This window comes from Homo sapiens, chromosome 17 (genome assembly GCF_000001405.40).
Source record: "Homo sapiens chromosome 17, GRCh38.p14 Primary Assembly".
Lineage (NCBI taxonomy): Eukaryota > Metazoa > Chordata > Mammalia > Primates > Hominidae > Homo > Homo sapiens.
The window spans coordinates 5,725,982-5,745,122 of record NC_000017.11 but is presented as its reverse complement, the minus strand read 5'-3'; the positions used below and the strand labels follow the sequence as shown (position 1 = coordinate 5,745,122).

The 19,141-nt window shown below is 41.2% G+C and overlaps 1 pseudogene, besides 1 other annotated feature; it reads right to left on the bottom strand.

Moving 5' to 3' along the window:
• Positions 11,414-12,613: an enhancer, noted in NCBI's record as "MED14-independent group 3 enhancer chr17:5635830-5637029 (GRCh37/hg19 assembly coordinates)". NCBI's record gives its function as "activates an origin of replication core promoter dependent on BRD2, BRD4, P300/CBP and CDK7 cofactors, and independent of MED14, by STARR-seq in HCT116 cells {active_cell/tissue: HCT116}" and the evidence as "EXISTENCE:reporter gene assay evidence [ECO:0000049][PMID:35650434]".
• Positions 13,315-14,927, bottom strand: LOC100128284 (nipsnap homolog 1 (C. elegans) pseudogene; annotated as a pseudogene).

Genomic DNA, 19,141 nt, shown 5'->3' with positions numbered 1-19,141 from the left:
TAATGCAAAGAATGTATTAAACTTTTTAACGTAAAAGTTTACATTTTTCCCATATGCTGGGACAACTCCATAAAATAACTACTCTACCCTTCTTACTACAGAGACCTGGGTTGGTCCTAGGTCCAATCTCACTAATCAATAGCTTTGTGTCACACTAAATAAATGACCATGTACTGGCAATCTGGGAAATTCCAGTGCTTAAATAATGGCATCAGTGATAAAGAAAAATAGAAGCTAAAGAAATAACTCAGTGCACATGCATGAATAATAATTAGAATGAAAAAGCAATGGGACTATGTAAAACTTTTAAGAGGGCCCATGGAAAGAGTCCAGGACTTAGAATTTGGGGACCTGTGTTTGAAACTCAACTTTGTTACTTTGAGGGCAAAGGATATGAACAGACACTTCTCAAAAGAAGACATTTACGCAGCCAACAAACGCATGGAAAAAAGCTCAACATCACTGATCATCAGAAAAATGCAAATCAAAACCATAATGAGATACCATCTCACACCAGTCAGAATGGCGATTATTAAAGTCAGGAAACAATAGATGCTGGAGAGGCTATGGAGAAATAGGAATGCTTTTACACTGTTGGTGGGAATGTAAATTAGTTCAACTATTGTGGAAGGCAGTATGGCGATTCCTCAAGGATCTAGAATCAGAAATACCATTTGACCCAGCAATCCCATTATTGGATATATACCCAGAGGAATATAAATCATTCTACTATAAAGACACATACACACATATGTGTATTGCAGCACTATTTACAATAGCAAAGACATGGAACCAACCCAAAAGCCCATCAATGATACACTGGATAAAGAAAATATGGTACATATACACCACGGAATACTATGCAGCCATAAAAAACAATGAGATCACATCCTTTACAGGGACATGGATGAAGCTGGAAGCCATTATCCTCAGCAAACTAACACAGGAACAGGAAACCAAACACCATATGTTCTCACTCATAAGTGGGAGTTGAACATTGAGAACACATGGACACAGGGAGGGGAACATCACACACCACAGCCTGTTGGGGGGTGGGGAGTGAGGGGAGGGAACTTAGAGGACGGATCAATAGGTGTACCAGGGCACACGTATACCTATGTAACAAACCTGCACGTTCTGCACCTGTATCCCTTTTTTTTCTTTTAGGAAAAAAAAAAGAAATTCAAGTTTGTCACTTTGAGAGTAGACTTTTAATTACCAAGCACTTACTTGGCACTCTCACATGAATTAAGTTGGTTAATGTTTCTTTATCTTCTACCCTAGATGGGGCACTTCTGCTTTCATGCCTACATTTGATACTCAATATTCCAAAATGCTACACATTACTATATAATTATGTAGTGGCACATTCCAATATGACTATATAATAAATTATACAACATAATAGGAATAGACATCATAAATTATATATCATAATTTGTATGCTCCAACAGGATTTACAAAGCATTTGTCCATAAATTGTCTTACGTTTACATTGTGGATCTTCTCAACAACTCTTCAGTGGGTATCATCACCCACCTCTTTTTTTGTCAATGTGAAAGGAGAGTCTCAGAGAGCAGGTGCGGCTGCTCAGTGGTGGCCAGAAGACCAGGTCTACTGACCCTGACTCCAGAGGCCATGTGACCATAATGTCATTCATTGGTCTGTAGCCTCAGCACCAAGACCTTGGTTAACCTCTTACATTCTTTTTATGTCTTCCTAATACAAGTAAACAAGAATAATTGTCAGTGTACAAATACAAATTTTGAGCATCACAGATAAAGTAAAGCAAACTTCCCTTGACCATCACTTTTTATTTCAAGTTCTTTCCCCAAATATATCACTGACCTTAGTTTGGTAACTATGCTTCCAGAATTGTATGTATGTATGTATGTATGTATGTATGTATGTATGTATGTATGTATATACACATTTTTTAGTGTATAATACAATATTTGGAACACCCTATACTAAAGCAGTTATTTGTTACTTATCTGAAATTCACATTTAACTAGGTGACCGTATTTTTATTTGCCTAATCTGGCAACCCTTTCCTAAAGTATAGAGCCAGGCACTGCCAGGCTGGGTAACCAAAAAATTTACCTCACTCTCAAAATAGGGAATCTTTACCATTTCTGCCCAGAGACGTCATAATTACTATATAATAGTAACTTCTATGTGATTCCCTTTCTCCCCTTTTGTGGTACAATATTTTGGGTATATCTATGTTTTTTTTTCTCTACCACAGTTCACTGGGTATTCGTGGGGAAGAGCAATTGAGTTGAAATTGACAGGTCACTCGTTCATGAGGAGCAGCAGGCGACCTGAGGAAGAACCTGCTGCACATCACACAGACTGGACAGTCTGCTAGTTGCCTGCCCAAAATCCATTTGCCTTTTTTCTTTCCTGGTAGAATATCTTTAGTATTTGGGGTAGCAATGTACCCAGCTAAAAAAAATTTTTTTTGCTTCCAATGCAGATAGGGGTAGCCAATATCACACAAGCACAAGTCATTAAGTAGAACTCCCAGAAAGGCTGAGAAGGCAAAGAATCATGCGCTTTTGCTTTTCTCTGCTTTATTTCTTCTTCCTGAATGGAATGTAGATGTGATGGCCAGAGCTCCAAAAGCATCTTCAATCATAAGCAACCTTGAAAATGAAATCACTGCACTAAGGATGATGGGGCAGACAATAGATGGAACTTGGGTTCCTAGTGGTCATGGAGCTGCCATACTTGTTAAGGGCTGGTAGCCTCCAGCTCTCCTCTATGCGAAGGATCAATAATAAGGCTTCCTCTTATTTAAGCCATTGGTCTGAGTTTTCTGTCATGTTCAGCTACCACTAGTCTAAATTGACATATCCATCCTACCCCTGCTAATTTCAAATGCCTCCTTTATCATATATTGAATTCCCATGTATGATCTTTTGCTGGTTTCCCTGTTCTGGTTCATTTATCTATTTTTTTTTCCTGCACCAATACCACACTGTTTGATTATTAATGCCATATATTTTGGTGTTTAAAGCAGGGGTCCCTGACCCCCAGGCTGCAAACCAGTACCTGTCCATGGCCTGTTAGAAACCAGTCCACACAGCTGGAGGTGAGCAGCAGACTAGTGCACGTTGCCACCTGAGCTCCACCTCCTGTCAGATCAGCTGGGCATTACATTCTGACAGGCGCCCAAACCCTATTGTGAACTGTGTATGGGAAGGATCTAAGTTGTGAGCTCCTTATGAGAATCTCGCTAATGCCTGATGATCGGAGGTGGAACGCTTTCATCCGAAAACCATCTCCCCCACCCCCGTCCGTGGAAAAATTGTCTTCCACGAAACCGGTCCCTGGTGCCAAAAAGGTTGGGGATCGCTGGTCTAAAGGAGAAGATACTAGACATCACTGATGTCCTTTTTCAAATTTATCTTGTTTGTTCTTACACATCTGTTCCTTCGTATAAATTCTGGAATTTGCCTATGAAGTTCCATGAGGAATTTTGGTGACATTTTTATTGGGGTTATAGATAATTTAGAGTAAATTGGCTTATTTACAGTTGAGTGTTCCTATCTATGTAGATGGTATAATCTCTCCATTTATTTAGGTTGTTTTTGACATCTTTTGTTAAACATAATTACCTTGATAAAGATCTTTTGTGTTTCTTTTAGTTTTTTTCTATTTTATATTTTGTGGTTGCGATTTCCATTATAATTTGGAATTTTTATTACCTTTTCTAATTTATTACTGATAACCTATAGGAAATCTATTGATTTTTTATATTGAGTTTGTATTCTATCATCTTCTGAACTCTCATTGATTTTTCCAATTTTCCAGTTGATTCTCTGCCATATTCTAGGTACATAACCATATAGTTTTTTCTCTTTCTGGTATCTATGACTTTCACTTATTTTCTTTGTCTCATTTCATAGGCTAGAGGATTGTTTTTAAACCTATCACCCAGAGAGCTTTGTAACATACCAGTGCCTGAGCCCCACCCCCAGGAATTCTGACTCAGGTGCACTGAGATGGGATGCAGGCATATTGGTATTATTTTAGGACTCCCACATGATCCCAATAGACAAGCTGCTTTGAGGACCCCTGGACCAGGAGCTCAACCCCAGCATTGAGTAGGAGAGGCAATAGGCAGTATCTGCATCATGTTCCATATGTGCTAAGCACCTCAAAAACATTCAGTGTGACGTTTCCTAGGTCTCATGTAAATACCCATTACCAAATGCAGCACATTTTCTACTCTATCTAGTTCGAAGAGACTTTTTAAATAGGGAATGGAGTTTTCTTTTGTGCTTGTGTCTGACTTCTTGGCTGAAAGACACTTGATTTTAAGCTCTCTTTTATTTTTATAAAAGCATTTATGGTTATAGATTTTCCTCCGAATACCATTTTATCTATAACACAGAGTTTGCTCCCTAATGTTTTTTTAAATCAATATATAAAGAGATTTTAATTTTAATACATTTTGATTTCTTCTGTAACCCAAGAGTGGTTAGAAACACACATGGGATTTTCTAAACCTTTCAAGTAATAAGGTTTTTCAGTTATGTTTTTGTTATGAATATCTAATTCTATTGCATTTTGCATATGAAAATAGCCTGTTTGAATTCACCATATGAAAGTGGCTTGTTTCTGCCTTTTAGAACGTACTGTCATTTCCTTTGTGGCCCAACTTGAGCTGATTTTTAATCTAAAACATAATTACAAGTAATGTAGTTGAAAGCTATATTCTCTCTTAGGCACAAAACTACAAAATCAAACATTTTTATTCAAATTATCTTTTTTCTTAATTATTTTCATCTATTTAATGAGCCAATTTATGAGTGAAGAATAAGGCTTTGTCTATTTTTCCTTTCATTTCTGTTTTAACTTTATGTGTGGTTGCAGCTTTGGGCATTTCTCCTTGTATTTCTATCTGGTTTTGCTTTAATATTTCCATATCTATGCTGTTGGCATACAATGGTTCACAACTGTGATCATTACTTGATGGATTATTTCTTTTTACCTATAAACAGTGTTTCAGTTTGCCCTTTATAATGCTTTTCACCCTAAATTCCATTCTGCTTGGTGTTAATATTGCTATTCTAGATTTGTTTGTTAATATTTGTTTATATTTTTCACCCCTTTGTTTTCTTTTTTTTTTTTTAAGACAAAAAAAAGAAAACTTTTTTCTTTGTTGCCCAGGCTGGAGTGCAATCGTGTGGTCTCTGCTCACTGCAACCTCAGCCTCCTGGGTTCAAGAGATTCTCATGCCTCAGCCTCCCGAGTAGCTGGTATTATAGGCGCACACCACCATACATGGCTAATTTTTTGTACTTTTAGTAGAGACAGGGTTTCACCATGTTGGCCAGGCTGGTCTCGAACTCCCGACCTCGTGATCCACTTGCCTCAGCCTCCCAAAGTGCTGAGATTACAGGCATGAGCCACCGTGCTCAGACTCACCCCTTTATTTTCAACATTCCTCTGTCATTTTGTTTTAAGAGTTTCTTGTACAAATCACATATATCCAGATATTGGGTTTTTTACTCAGCTTAGAGTCTCTGTCTTTTAATAAGTAAATTTAACACATTATTATTGTTACTTGGACTTACACCAGCCAAGTGATTTTGTGTTTTTCATACTTTCTCACTGTTCTTGTTTTTCCCTTTCTGGCTTTGTTTGATTTGCTCAAACTTGCTTTCATTTTTCTTCTAAGTTTGAAATTTACATATTGTATTCATTCGCCCAATGTTTAGTCTTAGCTTTTTAACACTTCTACTTAGACTTGTTTTTTTTTTTTTTTTTTAATTTCTTCTTCTTTTTACAGCTCACTGGAGCCTCAAACTCCTGGGCTCAAGCAATCCTCCTACCTCAGCCTCCAGAATAGCTGAGACTACAGGAGTGTGCCACCATGCCAATTACTTTTTTAATTTTTTGTGGAGATAAGGGTCTCACTATGTTTGCCCAGGCCAATGTTATGTTTTGCTAACAGTATCCAATCTCAAGTCAGTATCTATAATCTTTGCCCAAACAAGACCAAAACCAACTCCCATTTATTTCCCTCTGCCTTCTTGTGTCACATTCATCACCACCACCTCCTTAGAATTTTTTTTTTTTTTCTGAGACAGACTCTCGCTCTGTCAGCCAGGCTGGAGTGCAGTGGCATGATCTTGGCTCACTGCAACCTCCATGTTCCAGGCTCAAGCAATTCTCCTGCCTCAGCCTCCTGAGTAGCTGGGATTACAGGCGTGTGCCACCACTTCCGGCTAATTTTTGTATTTTTAGTAGAGACGGGGTTTCACCATGTTGGCTGGGCTTGTCTCAAACTCCTGACCTCAGGTGATCCACCCACCTCAGCCTCCCAAAATGCTGGGATTACAGGTGTGAGCCACCGCGCCCAGCCCCACCTCCTTCGATTAAGCAATGTATTTAACTGGGTGTTGTCTGTGCTCATCGTTCCTTCTCACAGTTCAATGACTTTCGCTTGGATTCTTTCTGCAAGTTCTGGGAGATGATTGAGGAATCCTGATTTTTAAAAACCCAGAGGACTTGTGAGCATTGTGACAATTTCCCTGGGAAAAGACATAATTAATAAATTATACCTATTGTTACTTAAAGCATTGCAAGGTTCTGAAAATTCCATCAAGAAAAAAAAGCAAGAAGCCAAAAAGCAAAAAAGAAGAGGAAAATAAAAGCAAGAAGAGAAGGAAACATAATATCTATAAAATTCTTATAAGGAATCTGTGCCTGGGCCCAGAGAGTATGCTTGTTGGCTGTTCAGTGACTCTGTTAGTGAATACACAGAACTGGCCCCTCCATGCTCAGGTGAGAAAAGGAACAACTGTGATAAGATCATCACTTCCATCGTGTGTCCCCCAGGGAGCATAAAAGGAGGATGAGATCTACTCCCCATTATGAACCCACACTGAGTCTTGCCCAGCAAACTTGGCTATGAGCTGTCTTCATCTTGGGACCCTCTCGGATATTTGTTTGGGGACAAAAGAAATCTCACCATCGAAGGTGATAAACAATGTGGCGATAGCTGATTATTACTTAATATTAGAGAAAGGATCATTTTTCCTGCAAATGGTGCTGGAGCAATTGGATATCCATATGCAAAAATAGCAAACTTCAATTCATACCTTGCACCATGTATGCAAATTTACTCAAAATGGAGCATAGACATAAATATGAAACCTGAAACTGTGAAACTTACAGAGGAAATAGGAGAAAATCGTTGAGTTAGGCGAAGATTTCTTAGCTACAACCCAAAAGTACAACCTATACAAGAAAAAATTGTTAAATTGGATCTAATGGCTGGGTGCGGTGGCTCACGCCTGTAATCCCAGGACTTTGGGAGGCTGAGGCGGGTGGATCACGAGGTCAGGAGATGGAGACCATCCTGGCTAACACGGTGAAACCCCGTCTCCACTAAAAATACAAAAAAAAAAAAAAAAAATTCTCCGGGCGTGGTGGTGGGAGCCTGTAGTCCCAGCTACCCCGGAGGCTGAGGCAAGAGAATGGCGTGAGCCCGGGAGGCGGAGCTTGCAGTGAGCGGAGATCGCGCCACTGCACTCCAGCCTGGGCGACAGAGCGAGACTCCGTCTCAAAAAAAAAAAGAAAAAGAAAAAAAAAATTGGATTTAATGAAACCTAAAAATGTCTACTCTTTGAAAGACACTGAAAAAGCATGTAAAGACAAGCCACAGACTGAAAGAAAATATATGTAAATCATGTGTCCAGTGAAGGATGTTTATCAAGAATATGTAATGAACTCTCATTAAGAAGAAAAAAAAAAGAAACCTAAATAAAAGAAAAAGAAAAAGAAACTTCAATAAAAAGAAAATCAACAACTCAAATGATTGATTTCTATCTCTTGGTTTTCCAAAGCTTTCATCTATTTTTGTTGTTTAAGAATTAAAACAAGCTTATCCCAGAGAAGGAAGTCACCCTCAGTTTTGACAATCCTAAAACCTGGATGACATACTCCGGTAAATCTTTCAGTGATACAGTTCCTTGTATATTTTTAAATATTTTTTCACCTTTACTCTTGAATAGAAGGATACTAGGTTCTTAAATACAGAATCTAAGTTCAAATGATTTATTCATTCTTAGCTTTGAAGAAACTGCTTCTCTGCCTTGCAACCCTTGTTGATAATAAAAAGATAGACATCTTCTCAGTCTGATTCTCTTTTCTCTTTTTTTTTTTTTTTTGAGACGGAGTCTCACTCTGTCGCCCAGGCTAGAGTGCAGTGGCACAATCTCGGCTCACTGCAACCTCCACCTCCTGGATTCAAGCAATTTTCCTGCCTCAGCCTCCCAAGTAGCTGGGATTACAGGCATGTACCACCATGCCCAGTTAATTTTTGTATTTTTAGTAGAGACGGGGTTTCACCATGTTGGCCAGGCTGGTCTCGAACTTCTGACCTCAAGTGATCTGCCTGCCTCGGCCTCCCAAAGTGCTGGGATTACAGGCATGAGCCACCGCGCCCGGCTGATTCTCTTTTCTTTATAGAGAATTGTTGGTTGTTTTTTACTCTTTGGAAGTCTTTAGGATTTTTCTTGATCCTTGGTATTGTGAAATTTCACTACAATGTGTCCAATGGTCTTGCATTCATCCCATTTTGGTACTCAGTGGAGCTTTTCAGTCTGAGAACTCATATTTTTCTCCTATTCTGGGATTTTTTTACTTCTATCCTTATTTTGCATTTGTCCCCACTCTTCATTCTCTGTATTTGGGGTGCGGGGAGTGGATAGCTACTACCACTGGCTTCCCCAATAGCTATTCTCTCCTTTCTTCTTAGAAACAGAATACTGATTTTAGCAGGACACATTGCCATGAAGAATGTCTACTTCGAAGCTAACTGTGGCCACGTGTTTAAATTCTAGACAATGAGATCTAAGCAAAAGTGTTTTGCAGAATTCTGGGAAGCCTGCTTAAAGGGAGTTGAGTTAACTGGGCAGGTCTGGCTTTTCTCTTTTTCCCTGCCTGCAGCCATTAGGTGAGCTTCAAGAGCCCATGTGCTGGGCTGGCAAAGCAGGAAGACAGGAATCAGGGTCCTCAATGATACTTGTAGAGCCATACACCAGCTCTCCTTTCCTCTGTACTTTTCTTTGGTCGATAAGTAATCTCTATCTTGTTAAGCCACCATTTTTTGCATCCTATTATTCCTAAGTAATACTAATAATCCTTTAGAATCCTTCTGACGTTTTTATTATAGGAATGTTAGAAATTCTAAATTTATGCTACGTGCATCAGTCTTTTTTCCTATGTTTCTCTTGGTTGGTTCAGTGTTGCATTCTAAAGTTCTCAGTTCAGTCTTCTAAGTTACTAATTTACACTTCAGCTGAGGCCAATCTGCTCAACTTTCTATTTTGTCAGTTTCAATCGTGATTTTTTATTTCCAAGATATCAAGTTGATTTTTTTAATTATGATAAAACACACATAACACAAAATCACCACCTTAATTATTTTAAAAGTACAGTTCAGTAGCATTGAGTATGTTCACATGGTTGCAACCATCATCACCATCCATCTCCAGAACTTTTTCATCCTTTCAAACTGAAACTGTTTTCATTAAACACCAACTCTCCATTTTCCCCTCCCCCTGGGCTCTAGAAATCACCTTTCAACTTTCTATCAATTTGACCACTCTAGGTCACTTACATGAACAGAATCATAGAGTATGTGTCCTTTTGTGACTGACGTATTTCACATAGCATAATGTCTTCTTCAGGTTCCTCCATGTGATAGGATTTTCTTCCTTTTTAAGGCTGAACATTCTCTGGTAACATTCTCCTGGATGAAGATGGCATTTTGGTTTATCCACTCATCCATCAATGGACACTTGGGCTGCTTCTGCCTTTTTGCTATTGAGGATAATGCTGATATGAACGTGGGGGTAGCAGACTGATTCTTAGGGCAATCTCTTCTCATCTCCTTCTTTTTTTTTTTTTTCCTTTCACTTTAAGTTCTGGGATACTTGGGCAGAACATGCAGGTTTGTTACATAGCTATACTGTGCTATGGTGGTTTGCCGCACCTAACAACCCGTCACCTAGGTTTTAAGCCCTGCATGCATTAGGTATTTGACCTAATGCTCTCCCTCCCCTTGCCCCCCACCCACCAACAGGCCCTGGTGTGTGATATTTCCCTCCCTGTGTCCAATGTGTTCTCGTTGTTCAACTCCCACTTATGAGTGAGAACACGCAGTGTTTGGTTTTCTGTTCCTCTGTTAGTTTGCTGAGAATGATGGGTTCCAGCTTTATCCATGTCCCTGCAAAGAACATGAACTCATTCTTTTTATAGCTACATACTATTCCCTTCTCATCTCTTTCTAGGGATAATAACTACATGTACTCAAGGCCCTGCTCCACTTGCGTTTTTAATTTTGTTCTCAGATATAAGTTCATGTGTTGACTTTGATGTCCCTTTCACGGTGCTGGCTTCCCTCAAGTGTTGTTGGCTTCTGGGTGTATGCTCATCGTTGTTTGTAAGCTCATCTTTGTTTGTAAAAGTCTCTGTGCGCCAGGCTGGAGAAGTTACACTGATGTACACTAGCCTGAATATAGGAAGGGGTTGAATGTGCTACCCAGGCAGATACCTCAGCCTCTCTCTTGATTATGGCAGAGATGTGAGACATGTAGGAGAGAGGGGCATTAACTAACCTTCTGGGCACATGGGCTGTCTGGTTTTGCTGGGAGTTGTCAGCCACCCCAGATCCTAGTCTGCCTCTCTGACCCAAAAAACCACACTTATTGCTCCCTCTTTTTTTTTTTTTTTTTTTTTTTTTTTGAGACAGAGCCTTGCTCTGTCACCCAGGCTGGAGTGCAGTGGTGCGATCTTGGCTCACTGCAACCTCCACCTCCCAGGTTCAAGTGATTCACCTGCCTCAGCCTCCTGAGTAGCTGGGACTGCAGGCACCTGCCACCATGCCTGGCTAACTTTTTTGGATTTCTACTAAAGACAGGGTTTCGCCGTGTTAGCCAGGATGGTCTCGATCTCCTGACCTCGTGATCTGCCCACCTCGGCCTCCCAAAGTGCTAGGATTACAGGCGTGAGCCACCGTGCCCGAACTTGCTACTTCTTAAAACAAGACATTTCGTTGTTTGCTACCTGATAAAGGGGCGGCATCTCCCATCTGTGGCTCGATCAGGAGCATCAGGGTCCCATCTCATCCTGGCATCACAATCTCCAGGCCTGCCATGCCCTTGCCCCCTTGCCCATCTTTTGCATCCTTCCTCTCCTACAGATGATTTTTGACTGCAGTTTCCTTGCTTCATCTAAGGAGCTTCTTATAATTACTGTCCATCAACTGCCTCTCTCCTTCCTTCCCAGCATGGTAATGAGAACTTGTTACAATAATTATTTCTGTCACTCTCAGAAGTTAGGGCAGGAGGGGGAGGCTGCTGAATATACATTATCTGCTCTCTTGAACTGGTTGTCTAGTTGTTTTTAAAGTTTCTTATTCTCAAATCACCAGCGCAAATCCAACAGAGACTGTTATTTTGGGGAGGATCATAAAACACAGAACAGATAGTGCTGTGGCATTCACGCATCTGTCTCTGTGAAGCAAGCAGGAATTTTTTGGTGGCCAAATATTTTGACAAAAGCTTTGCAATTTCCTTCTTGTGCTCTCCCTAAGGAATAGTTAAGCCCAGAGATTCTGTGGATAGTGGTTGGCCTAAAAATGCAAATATTTCTTTGAGTAATGTGGGTTTATCCTGACCCCATCCATGTAATACCTGTGCAGCTAGAAGGAAAATTTTTCTTCTCTCATAATTACCGGTAGGCTTAGGAAACACGCCTTTCTGGGGACGATTCCTAGATAATCTTACCTGGGTTAGAAGCTGAGACTTTAGAGGAGGAGGCAGAAGATAAATAATATAGGAGAGGTAAACTTTTTCTCTATCTTTTTAGGTTTGGTGATTGGAGCTCTGTAAATTAAACTGACAAAAGACACATTCGCAAGAGAAGAGAAGAGTTTACTTACGCAAGCCTGAGTGTTCAGTGATGAGTAACTCAAAGTCGTGATTAGAATTTGGGGCTTAAATACCTAACCTAGTAGGGGAAAGGGAGGAGGGAGAAAAGGCTCCTATGGGAAATACAGATGGGCTTCTTTAGGAAATACATTTTTTTCAGGATAACAGGACATTTTTTGAAGAGTGTGGTGATGTCTTTCCATACAAATAAAGGTGGTCTTTCCATCTTCCTCAGGGCCATGAAACTCCCCCGGAGAAGGGATCTATGGTAGCTTCATTTACCAGAAGTTGCTGCTTTTAGTCAGATAAGGGAAGCTCTGAGGAGGCTTTTCTCTGCGTCTGTTGAACCTCAAATGTCTTCAGTTTAAAATAATCTTTATTCCAACTCTGGGCTTCTGAGTGGGTCCACACAGTAAGCTCATATGAGCTTTAGATGGTGGGAAGAGGGCTGGTGACCCTGAAAAAGAGAGGAAAAGAGAGAGGAAGGGGAAGAGGAACAGTGAAATGGATGAAGATTCTGGGGAGCCTGGCGAGACCCCTCAAATCTTGAGCAAGTCCCCCACACCCATGAATCATCTGTTGGGAGCACCCTTAGTGAAACCACTGCAGACTGGGTTTTTTATCCAAGATGGCAGGAGGCTGCACCCTCTAATGCCGAAAAGAACAGACTGAAGAATTAGGCCATCAGGAATTGTCCAGGATCATGAGGAAGACCCTCAGCTTTCGCAGGCTGTAACTTGGGAGGGTTGAACCAAGCTTACCTAAATTTCCAGGAGGCACAGAAGCCCCGTTTGAGAAGGGTAACATGTAAACGTCAAGCAGAGTCCGTCAGGGGTGTGAGCTTTGAGCTGAGTGCCCAGCAGACGGGACTCCAAGTCCCTTCTTTTCTGTGTCCCAGTCTCCCTGGGAACCTACTCCACCGGGAGCAACAGCCCTGATTCCAAATACCTTTAAAATGTCCTGGAAATGTTGTTTTTTTTTTTTTTTTAGCATCTAAATGATATGCCCCAGACTTCTTCTATTCCAACTGTTTCTTTTTTTTTTTTTTTTTTTTTTTTTGAGACCAAGTCTCGCTCTGTCACCCAAGCTGGAGTCCAGTGCCATGATCTCGGCTCACTGCAAGATCTCGGCTCACCACAGCCTCCGCCTCCCGGGTTCAAGCAATTCTCCTGGCTCAGCCTCCTGAGTAGCTGGGATTACAGGCACATGCCACCATGCCAGGCTAATTTTTGTATTTTTAGTAAAGCCAGTGTTTCACTATGTTGGCCAGGCTTGTCTTGAACTTCTGACCTCATGATCTGCCCACCTCAGCCTCCCAAAGTGCTGAGATTACAGGCATGAGCCACCGCGCCCAGCCTGTCACCTCTGTTCTATCTTCCAATTCTGTATTCCAAATTCCAAATTCTGCAGTTCAAACTCAAGTTCTGAATTCTAAGTTGTACCTTCTGGATTCTGTTACATGTCTGTCTCCTGCCCCTAAATCCTTCCTGGGTCCCATCCTTTTTCCCTGTCTTTTTGGATGGAATGTCTGGACATCCTCCTGACCTTGCCGATTTGAGGGGTTTTTTTTAGCAGTTCCAGGATTTTCCCCATCAGGAGGGACTTGGTTTAGACTAAACAGCAAGTGGGTGGCAGTGGCTCAGTGGAGATCAGGGAATTCCTGAGGACCTGGCTTGGCCTGACCTGACCTCCTTCCCTCCCATCCCACCTCTAACCACTGGACATACTTCCTTTTGTGCAATTAAGCTAAACCGAGGATTTCTGTGGTGATAGCTGGGGACTGAGAAATCTTAGGAAAAGATGTCAGCAGACCTAGAAGATTGCTATGTTTCATTCAGAGAAATTAGGAACTACTTCCAGCAGGGGGAAGGAGGGAGGAGGGGAAGGCAGGAAGGAGCTGAGCTGAGCTCTAAGTCCTCAGAATTTGTCATCCTTCAGTTCCCCGTTGTCTGAGCTAAGCATGGACCCTCAGAGTCCTCCCAGAGCCAAGAGAAAACCATGACAGTAGGACTGGGGTGCTCCTCTGTCCAGGGTTGCCCTGAGGGAGAAAGGGAAGAAGGTAGAAGTGTTGGGAGCATGACTGGAGAGGTGAGGTCTTCAAGAGGACCTCAAGAGGATCCTCAAGAGGATCCAAGACTCCACGTGTTGCCCGAGGGGAACTGTACAATAGACATTTCATCCCAAGCCCTCTTCCTGCAGGCAGCACTTCGGGTCTCCTCCCAAGACTGTGGGTCTTTATAGGACCAGAGATGATGCACAAGGTGGAGCTCTCCTATTTGGGAGGAGCCACGATCACCTCCTGGTTCTCCTGCTGGGACTTGCTGCTGGTACCTGCTGGCAGGACCCCAATTGTTCCCCTACTCCATCATGGTTCCTGGCTTCAGCTTGCATGTCCTCAGCTCATAAGATGTTGGGGTCCACGCTGGGCTATGGCTCATTCCAGAAGCTGAACTCAAGGAGCAATTGGTGTCTCCTGGACAACAGCATCCAGCTGCACTCCTTCCGGACCTCCAGGTACTCCTTGTCATGCAGTCCGCGAGGGCTGAGTAGCCACCTGAGAACCTCCACAGGTGCAGTGCCTGGTCCTGCTCCCTACAGCACGTGTTCCACTTGCCCATGAGGGAGCAGGGTAGTCCTCATCCTAGTGCAGTATGGACAGTGCTGCCTCCATCAGTGCCTACTATAGGCATCCGGGCACTCAGGCTTCTCACTGTGAAACTGGATCTTGTAGAGGTTGCTGGTCTCCTTCTTGGACAGCAGGGCAGAGTGGGCATCCTTCCAGGGATCCACTTTGTGAACAAAGAGGGAGCAGAACCAGTAGCCTTCGTTGTCCTTGGGATAGAAATGCAGCACAGCCGCAGCTGCAACATCCCCAGCACAGGCCTGGGCCTTCCAGTAGCCACTGTGACACTGCAGAGATGCTGCACAGCCACGAAGCCATGTTGGATCAGGGAAGGTTGCAGGAAGACCTCATGGTGTGTTTGAAGAGAATGTATATTCTGCTCTCACTGGGTGGAGTTGCACTAGGTTGGTGCAAAAGTAATTGCAGTTTTGGCCCATGAATTTTAAATCATTATAACTAGGTTCAAACACGTTTTTTTTACTTTTAATTTTTTAATTCAATAGGTTTTGGAGGGGGGGAACCGGTGGTGTTTGGTTACATTAATAAGCTCTTTAGTGGTGATTTCTGAGATTTTGGTGCATCCATCACCCAAGCAGTGTACACTGTACCCAATGTGCAGTCTTTTATCCCTCACCACCCCCGACCCTTTCCCCTGAGTCCCCAAAGTCCAATGTATCATTCTTACGCCTTTGTGTCCTCATAGCTTAGCTCCCACATATAAGTGAGAACATACAATGTTTGGTTTTCCATTCCTGAGTTACTTCACTTAAAATAATAGTCTCCAATTCCACCCAGGTTGCTGTGAATGCCATTAATTCATTCCTTTTTATGGCTAAGTAGTATTCCATTGTATGTATATACCACAGTTTCTTTATCCACTTGTTGACTGATGGGCATTTGAGTTGGTTCCACATTTTTGCAATTGCGAATTTTGCTGCTATAAACATGTGTGTACAAGTTTCTTTTTGGTATAATGACTTCTTTCCCTCTGGGTAGATACCCAGTAGTGGGATGGCTGGATCAAATGGTGGATCTACTTTTAGTTCTTTAAGGAATCTCCAAACAGTTTTTCATAGTGGCTGTACTAGTTTACATTCCCACCAACAGTGTAAAAGTGTTCCCTTTTCACTGCATCCATGCCAACATCCATTACTTTGATTTTTTTTATTATGGCCATTCTTGCAGGGGTAAGGTGATATCACATTGTGGTTTTGACTTGCACTTCCATTATAATTAGTGATGCTGAGCATTTTTCCATATGCTTGTTGGGGCCATTTGTTTATCTTCTTTTGAGAATTGTCTATTCATGTCCTTAGCCCACTTTTTGATGCAATTGTTTGTTTTTTTTTTCTTGCTGATTTGTTTGAGTTCATTGTAGATTCTGAATATTAGTCCTTTGCCTGATGTATAGATTGTGGAGATTTTCTCCCACTCTGTGGGTTGTCTGTTGACTCTGCTGATTATTCCTTTTGCTGTGAAGAAGCTTTTTAATTTAATTAAGCCCCATCTATTTATCTTTGTTTTTGTCACATTTGCTTTTGGGTTATTGGTCATGAAGTCTTTGCCTAAGCCAATGTCTAGAAGAGTTTTCCTGATACTATCTTCTAAAATCTTTATGGTTTCAGGTCTTAGATTTAAGCCCTTAATCCATCTCGAGTTGATTTTTGTATAAGATGAGAGATGAGGATCCAATTTCATTCTTCTACATGTGGCTTGCCAATTATCCCAGCACCATTTGTTGCATAAGGTGTCCTTTCCCCACTTTATGTTTTTGTTTGCTTTGTCAAAGATCATTTGGCTTTTTTTCTGGGTTCTGTATTCTGTTCCATTAGTCTATGTGCCTATTTTTATAATAGTACCATGCTGTTTTGGTGACTATGGCCTTATAGTATAGTTTGAAGTCGGGTAATGTGACGCCTCCAGATTTGTTCTTTTTGCTTAGTCTTGCTTTGGTTATGTGGGCTCTTTTTTGGTTCCATATGAATATTAGGATTGTTTTTTTCTAATTCTGTGAAGAATGATGATGGTATTTTGATGGGAACTGCATGGAATTTGTAGATTGCTTTTGGCAGTACGGTCATTTTCACAATATTGATTCTACCCATCCATGAGCATGAGATGTGTTTCCATTTGTTTGTGTCATCTATGATTTCTTTCAGCAATGTTTTGTGGTTTGTCTTGTAGAAGTCTTTCATGTCCTTGGTTAAGTATATTCCTAAGTATTATTTTTTGTAACTATTGTGAAAGGGGTTGAGTTCTTGATTTGATTCTCGGCTTGGTCACAGTTGGAATATAGCAGAGTTCCTGATTTGTGTACATTAATTTTGTAACCTGAAACTTTGCTGAATTCATTTACTAGTTCTAGGAGCTTTTTGATGAGTCTTTAGAGTTTTTCCAGGTATACGATCATATCATCAGCAAACAGCAACAGTTTGACTTCCTCTTTATCAATTTGGATGTCTTTTATTTTTCTCTCCTCTCTGATTGCTGTGGCTAGGACTTCCATTACTATGTTGAATGGAAGTGGAAAAAGTGAACATCCTTGTCTTCTTCCAGTTCTCGGGGGAGTGCTTTCAACTTTTCCTCATTTAGTATAATGTTCCTCATTTAGCCGTGAGTTTGTCATAGATGGCTCTTATTACCTTAAGGTATGTCTCTTCTATGCTGAATTTGCCAAGGGTTTCAATCATAAAGTGGTGCTAGATTTTGTCAAATATTTTTTCTGCATCTATTGAGATGATCATGTGATTTTTTTGTTTTTAATTCTGTTTATGTGGTGTATCACATTTATTGACTTGTGGGTGTTGTATCAGTCGGGGTTCTCTAGAGGAGCAGAAAAGTAGGATAGATGTATATATAAAGGGGAGTTTATTAAGGAGTATTGATTGGCTCACACAATCACAAGGTAAGGTCCCACAATAGGCCGTCTGCAAGGTGAGGAGCAAGGAAGCTAGTTCGAGTCCCAAAACCTCAAAAGTAGGGAAACTAACAGTGTAGCCTTCAGTCTGTGATTGAAGGTCCAAGAGTCCCAAAGCTGAAGAACTTGGAGTCTGATATTAGTGGGCAGGAAGCATCCAGCGTGGGAGAAAGATGTAGGCCAGAAGACTCAGCCAGTCTAGTCCTTCCATATTCCTCTGCCTGTTTTTATCCTAGCTGCACTGGCATCTGATTAGATGATGCTCACCCAAATTGAGGGTAAGTCTGCCTCTCCCAGTCCACTGACTCAGATGTTAATCTCCTTTGGCAACACCCTCAGGGCGCACCCAGGAACAATACTTTGCATCCTTCAATCCAATCAAGTTGACACTCAATATTAACCATCACAGATGTTAAACCATCCCTGCATCCCTGGTATGAAAGCCACATGAAACATATCTTTGTTAGTCAAAATAGGAACCATTACAAGCAACACATTTTTGTCAATGAGAAATAAGTTTGTTTATTCCTGTAGCGTAAAAAATCCTTGCTTCAGGATTGAAACGAACTCACGGAAAGCATTTTCTGCATCCTGCTGGTTGTGGAAGCCTTTTCCCTGCAAAAAATTGTCGAGATGCTTGAAAAAGTGGTAATCAATTGGCAAGAGGTCAGGTGAATATGGCAGGTGAGGCAAAACTCTGTAGCCCAATTTATTCAACTTTTGAAGTGTTGTTTGTGTAACAAGTGGTCGGATGTTGTCATGGAGAAGAGTTGGGCCCTTTCTGCTGACAAATGTTGGCTGTAGGTATTGCCGTTTTTAGTGCATCTCACCGATTCGCTGAGCATTCTTCTCAGATGTAATGGTTTTGCTGGGATTCGGAAAGCTGTTGTGGATCAGACTGGCAGCAGACCACCAAACAGTGACCATGACTTTTTTGGTGCAAGTTTGGCTTTTGGAAGTGCTTTGGAGCTTCTTCTCAGTCCAACCACTGAGCTGGTTATTGCCGGTTGTCATGTAAAATCCACTTTTAATCACACATCACAATCCGATCGAGAAATGGTTCATTGTTATTGCATAGAATAAGAGAAGATGATAGTTGAAAATGATTTTTTTTTTATTTTTGCTCAGTTCATGAGCTTATCGAGCTTTTTCACCTTTCCAATTTGCTTCAAATGCCAAACGACCATAGAACGGTCGACATTGAGTTCTTTGGCAACTTCTTGTGTAGTTGTAAGAGGATCAGCTTTGATGATTGCTCTCAATTGGTCATTGTCAACTTCCGATGGCAAGCCACTACACTCCTCATCTTCAAGGCTCTTGTCTCCTTTGCAAAACTTCTTGATCCACCACTGCACTGCCCGTTTGTTAGCAGTTCCTGGGCCAAATGTATTATTGATGTTGCGAGTTGTCTCCCCTGCTTTACGACCCATTTTGAAGTCAAATAAGAAAATCGCTTGAATTTGCTTTTTGTCTAACATCATTTCCATAGTCTAAAATAAACATAAAATAAACAGAATAAACAGCAAGTAATAAGTCATTAGAAAAAAAAATGAGAAATGCCCATTAAAGTGATGTATAACATAACACATTTATTTAAGAATGTATTCCAATATCAAAGAGCAAATTCCAACAATGCAAAAACCA